This window comes from Homo sapiens, chromosome 5 (assembly GCF_000001405.40).
Source record: "Homo sapiens chromosome 5, GRCh38.p14 Primary Assembly".
NCBI lineage: Eukaryota > Metazoa > Chordata > Mammalia > Primates > Hominidae > Homo > Homo sapiens.
In genome coordinates this window covers 78,290,066-78,296,065 of record NC_000005.10, presented here as the reverse complement: position 1 = coordinate 78,296,065, position 6,000 = coordinate 78,290,066, and the positions used below count along the sequence as shown (strand labels likewise).

At 43.6% G+C, this 6,000-nt stretch overlaps 1 protein-coding gene across 3 annotated transcripts in view, besides 2 other annotated features; it reads left to right on the top strand.

Moving 5' to 3' along the window:
* Window positions 108-157: an enhancer, noted in NCBI's record as "active region_22705". NCBI's record gives its function as "activates an Ori minimal core promoter by ATAC-STARR-seq in GM12878 lymphoblastoid cells {active_cell/tissue: GM12878}" and the evidence as "EXISTENCE:reporter gene assay evidence [ECO:0000049][PMID:35858748]".
* Window positions 532-1,105: an enhancer, noted in NCBI's record as "OCT4-NANOG-H3K27ac-H3K4me1 hESC enhancer chr5:77590785-77591358 (GRCh37/hg19 assembly coordinates)". NCBI's record gives its function as "activates a minimal SCP1, AML or CMV promoter by ChIP-STARR-seq in naive H9 embryonic stem cells {active_cell/tissue: H9 hESC(naive)}" and the evidence as "EXISTENCE:reporter gene assay evidence [ECO:0000049][PMID:30033119]".
* The window catches only part of AP3B1 (adaptor related protein complex 3 subunit beta 1), a 294,177-nt gene continuing 289,544 nt past the window's right edge, over window positions 1,368-6,000 (top strand). For 2 of the 3 annotated variants that reach the window (NM_003664.5, NM_001410752.1), the window contains exon 1: window positions 1,368-1,614. In NM_003664.5, coding sequence (NP_003655.3) covers window positions 1,487-1,614 — 128 coding nt within the window. In that variant the 5' untranslated portion in view covers window positions 1,368-1,486. Of the gene's footprint in view, window positions 1,627-6,000 lie in introns of all 3 variants that reach the window. The other variant, NM_001271769.2, reaches the window with a different exon arrangement.

Sequence of the window (6,000 nt, the reverse complement as noted above, 5' to 3'; positions counted from 1 at the left end):
ACCTGCCAATATTTGACCAGACGATCAAGTTTGGAGGACGTCCCTTCCTCTCCCACCCAGAGCCACGCTCTTGCGTGCTTCCACAGTGACAGTGTGACCTTTTGAAATTTGGAGATCATACTCTCATCCTTGAAAACGCCCCACCGCCTTCCCTGGGGCGGCCGGCCTCCAGGTTCGCGTTCTACCTGGTAGAATCCCTTGACAGTTTCAGTACCTGGCCGCCAGGGCTTTGGGTGTTAATGCCTTCCTTGGACGGGAGGCACTGGGGAGAAGAGAGGGAAGGCGCTGAAACCCACCTGAGAAGGCGGGCTGGGGGAAGGCACCCCGGGAAAGAGGTTTTCTCGGGTGCCAGCACCCGGAGAGAGCTACTCTGGGGCCAGGCAAGCATCCCGCCTAGGCTCCCTAGTGCATATTAGTGAGTAACACGACTGGCGCGCGAGGTGGTCCATTTTATTTTTGGTAGCTAGACGCCAATAGGACGCACCACTTCAGCTCCAAACGGGAACTGGTGGCCCCAAGATGTTTTCTTTTCTTTTTCATTTTTTTGAGACAGGGTCTCGCTCTGTCGCCCAGGCTGGAATGCAGTGGAGAGATCTCAACTCATCGCTACCCCCTCCTTCTGGGTTCGAGTGATCCTCCCACCTCAGCCTCAGTAGCTGGGACCACAGACACGCGCCACCACGCCGGCTAATTTTTATATTTTTTGCAGAGAAAGGGTCTCGCTATGTTGCCTAGGCTGGTCTCGAACTCCTGGCCTCAAGTGATCCACCCGCCTCGGCCTCCCAAAGTGCTGGAATTACTGGCGTGAGCCACCGCGCCCGGTCTGCCCCCAAGACTTTCATTGAAAAGATGGAATGGTCGCTTCTGTGCGGATCCTCCAAACCATCGTTGGGAGAGGCCTCCTTAAAGTCTAGGAGAAAAGTTGTTTGGGACCGATATGAAAGTAAGGCAAAGCCGGATGGAAGAGAGTAGCCGAAACAAGCAAGAAAAGGAAAAGCGATCGTGATGGGTTTAGGAAAGGTGATCTGGCGTGCTAAATGGCATTTCCGGAGAAATCTGAAAACTATTGCTTTACTGAAGTATAGCAAAGAGCTGTCCGGGCTCTGGAAACTCCTTAACGGATCAAAACGGATGCAATGGGTATCCTTCTCCAAAGACACACCTCAAACGGGCCGGGAGCCGGGCAGTTAGCCACCCGCTGCCTCCCCTTCCGCAGTCCGGCTCGCAGCCGCTCAGCTACCTCTAAAGCCCGGAGCAGGAAAGTCCGCGCAGGCCTGGATGGCCCGGGTGGTAATCTAGCAGGCCTGCACACTGCGCATGCGCAGGGGGTGGACTGCCAGGTCGGCTCAGGGAGCCGTGACGAGTCCGGAAGCGCCTGCGCGCGCTCCTCCGTACGAGAACTAGTTTTGTTCCGTGCCCTCTGGACTGGAACCTTTTGGAGAGAACCCCCGGCAGGACCAACCCCGCACCCGCCAGCACCGCGGCAATGTCCAGCAATAGTTTTCCTTACAATGAGCAGTCCGGAGGAGGGGAGGCGACGGAGCTGGGTCAGGAGGCGACCTCAACCATTTCCCCCTCGGGGGCCTTCGGCCTCTTTAGCAGCGATTTGAAGAAGTGAGGAGAAAGGTTTGGGTTGCGGGGATGGGAGGGAGGAGCTGCGGACTCGGAGGAGTGGGCGCCAGGGTGGGCTTCCTGGAGAGGAGCGGGGTCGCCCTGAGGTCTGAGCAGGGCAGGGCGGTAACGTGTCCCGCGGGTGGGTAGGTGGGGTTGGTTGGCGGTGGTGGGAGTTGTGGGAGTTTGGGGCGAATGTGTGTAGGGGTCTCTAGTAGTTTTCAAACTTTAGTGAAAAGGAAACCACTTGGTGAGCTTAGATCCCACCCCTGAAGACACTGATTGAATTGGACTTGGGCTGGGCTCAGGAGTCTGAATTTTGAGCATCGTCTTCTAGTTTATTTACCGTTCGCCGGATCAGACTTTAATACATTCCCTGATTAGGGTGAAAGGAGTGTTTTGGTGAAGGTGAGAGTGCGAGTGTTGCTTGTGGGAAGTTATTTTGTGACCCCGGAGTGTAGGAGCAGAGAGGTGGATTTAGGCTGTTTGAATGGACAAACTGGTTTACACCAGTATTAATGTTCTTGGATTATGTCCTTTGCACTACAGACAAAAACACCAATCCAAAATAAGCATATGAATAGAAAATATTTTAAAAGAGTGTTACTGTGAACAAATCCAAAACTTTTACAGATTAATAATGTGAATTTTAAAAACGAATGTTAAACAAGGTACACTTAGTTTTGTAAAAAGTATCACCGAGAAATGGAAAGAAATCCCAAGTTGTTTGTTTTGGGGGGTGGGTTGGTGGTAGTGGTTACATTTACCAGAATTATCATTTTTACATTTCTCTTATTTTAAATCTTTCATTACTAAGCAATAGGGTCACATAATAGTCTGTCACTAAATTCATGCTAAATTAAGGTAGAATAGCTGTGCTAGTAGCTTTGCAGATCTGTTAGAGGGTATAATTAAAATTTAAATTAAACGTTACTAACAATATTGGGTAGTCTAGAAAGTGCTACTACTTCAAATTGGGATTACATTTTGGCTGTATTGAGGATCAAAATCATATATATAGCATGTAAGATACAATCTTTTCCTTTTTCCCAAGGTTAGAAAAGTTTAAAAGTAAGGTAACTGATTTCATTTTTCATTATATGCATTTGATGATCCATTGTTCTAGAACAAGTACGGAGCTTGTTGCCTCTACTATTAGCAAAATGTTTAGACTGAATTAACCTGTATATCGGCATCAATCTGTTTCGCAAATTAATTTACTTTTATGGTTTGTGAACATCTACGATGTTTTCTCTTAGATTTTTGTCAGATTTGGGGCCAGGCACTGCGGCTCACGCCTGTAATCCCAGCACTTTGGGAGGGTGAGGTGGGCGGATCGCTTGAGGCCAGGAGTTCGAGACCAGCCTGGCCAACATGGTGAAACCCCGTCTCTACTAAAAATACAAAAATTAGCCGGGCGTGGTGGCTCGTGCCTGTAATCCCAGCTACTCGGGAGGCTGAGGCAGGAGAATCGCTTGAACCCGGGAGGCGGAAGCTGCAGTGAGCCGAGATCGCGCCACAGCACTCAAACGTGGGCGACAGAGTGAGACTCCGTCTCAAAAAAAGAAAAAAAAGAAAAAGATTTTTGTCAAATTTGGACCTGATTTGGAAAAAAAAAACAAAAAAAACTTACGGCTTTGACTCTGTGACCAGTGCTCTTGAGGTGACCTAACAGGTTGGATTTAAAATAAAAGTAGCTAATTGATTAGAGGTGATATGTAATATATGCAAATAACCATGGTTGAATTGTGTTCCCCGAAAGATATTTATTGAGTATTTGTGCACACCACTTTACATTTATTATCTCATTCAGTTTTCCTAAACAACCCTGCAGGTTATTACCAGGTACTTCTCTGCTCCCACTTTACACGTGAGGAAATTGGAGCAAGGTTGTTAACTTGGAAAAGGCCACAAAGGTAGAACATTGCACTGCCTGAATTTGAACTCAGGGGCTCTAATATTAGAGCCCATTCTCTCAAAAGTTTAGATGTGCTACTTACTACTTGATGAAATGTATGGTATTTTTATTAGTGAGTGCATACAACTCACAAAAAGTTTAAAACTTTAAATAGTAGCTCCAAGTAGTACCACCAGAGAAGCTTCCAGGGATTAGAAACATTTGGCTATTGACCTGCAGTCTAATGGAATTGTACAGAAACAAGGAGACCCCTGTTCTGGAAGTGGTCATTAAATCTCTCTTGAGTCCACATTTTCTCATTTATAAAACCGTAATATTACTTGCCTTTTAAAAAATCGAATGACAAAGTTTATATAAAAAACTTAAAGCTTACCCTATTCCTCACCTCTGGTTTTTAATGGTTTACTCTGATGAAATAGTTTCAAGTTTACAAAAAAGTTGCAACAATGACACAGAGAGCTACCCTTTTGCAGATTTACCAATTAAAAAAAAAATGCTACATTGCTTGCTTACTCTCTCTGCCACTCACTCTCCCCATGCATATTCAGGCACATATACGTATTCATGTTATTATGTCTTCTGAACCATTGGAGACTCAGTTGTACACATCATGTTCTTTTACAATGAAAATCTTAATGTGTAATTTTTAAGAACAAAGATATTCTCTTACGCAACTACAGTGTTGATGTATTCAGGAAATTAATCTAATTTTATCCTTTGTTCCAATAAAGTGTTTTTTTTCCCAAGCATTTTTTTCCTCAAGTACAGTTTCCAGTCCAAGATAATATATTTAATTTAGTTGCCATGTCTCTTTAATCTTCTTTAATCTGGGATAGTTCCTTAGCCTTTTTTGTCTTTCATGAATTTGACATATCTAAGGATTGCAAAGCCTATTATTTTATTTTATGTTAATCAGTTTTTGGGTTTGCTGGTGTTTCCTCATGTTTAGATTCAGGTTATGTATCCTTGGCTGGGATACTACCATAGGTGATGCATGCTTCTTGAACTATTACATTTGGAGGCATAGGTTGTCCATCTTCATGATGTTAATTTTCCTAGTCACAGGGTTGTCCAGTTTCTCTGTGGTGTCATTTCTGTTTTTTTTTTTTTTTTTTTCAAATTATCTGTGGGGAGACACTGAGACCATGCAGATGTCTTGCTCTTTTTTAAATGGACCACTTCTACATTTAACAACCATTGATCAATCTCCTGAACCTGTCTTTTCCACAATGGCTGCAAAATGGTAATGTTTCAGCTGCAACTCCCTCTGCTGTTCTGCTCTTTGGCTTCTTGGCCTAGAGCTCTGTGTTCACTGATCCTTCACTAACCATCTCAATGATGCCTAGGTACTTCCTAGTCATAGTATTATCGGCAATTTTTGTTTTCTGAATTTAATCTTATTTATCAATATTATTTATCTTCTCCTCTCTTCAAACAGAAGCAGAATTAGATGGCTTTATGAAAGTAGATCCTATACCTAATTTATTGGCTAAAAAGGCCTGTGTATTAGATTATTGGCTTCAAGATTTTCAATTTCTTTATTTAAAATGTAAAGAACTTATTTTTGTACTCTTATTTTTTATTTTTTGAGACATGTCTTACTCTGTTGCCTAGGCTGGAGTGCAGTGGTGTGATCATGGCTCACTGCAGCCTCAACCATCTGGGCTCAAGTGATCCTTCCCACCTCAGGCTTCCGAGTAGCTGGGACTACAGGTGCATGCTACCATGCCCAGCTAATTTTTGTATTTATTGTAGAGATGGGGTCTTGCCATGTTGCCCAGGCTAGTCTTGAACTCCTAGGCTCAAGCAATCCGCCTGCCTCATCCTCCCAAGGTGCTGGAATTGGAGGCGTGTACCACTGTGCTTGGCCCCTTCCTTCTTTTTAAAATATTCTCAACTTTTATTTTCTGTTTTTTTCTAAGTTGTTTTTCTTCATTTAAAAAAAAACTTCTTTTAACCAATTTGGGTATGTGTGCCTATAATTAAAAATAATTTTAATAATTCTGTTACTGGATTAAACATTTAATTAGGAATTAATTTCTAGAAACAGACAAGACTAATTAATTTTTCTTAATTACAATAGTAAAGCTACTAAATTTGTAAATCTCTTTTCCTTTGAGAGCATCTTGGTGTATTAGAAGGAAGACTGAGGCTGGGAATGGTGGCCCCTGCCTGTAATCTTAGCATTTTGGGAGGCCCAGGCAGGAGGATTGCTTGAACCCAGGAGTTCCAGACCAGCCTGGGCAACATAGTGAGACCTTGTCTCTATAAATGAAAATGGGAAGAAAAAACAAAAAACACTGGGCCCAGAGTTAGAAGACCTGGATTTAAGTTGATGTTTTCCATTTGTAGTAGTGCTTCCTTGTTCAAGTTGCTGATCTCTTCAAACCTCAGTTTCCTCATTTCTAGACGGGATGTGATAATACTTGCCTCTTTTGTGAGGATCTCATGAGATGGTGTACTTCAAAGTG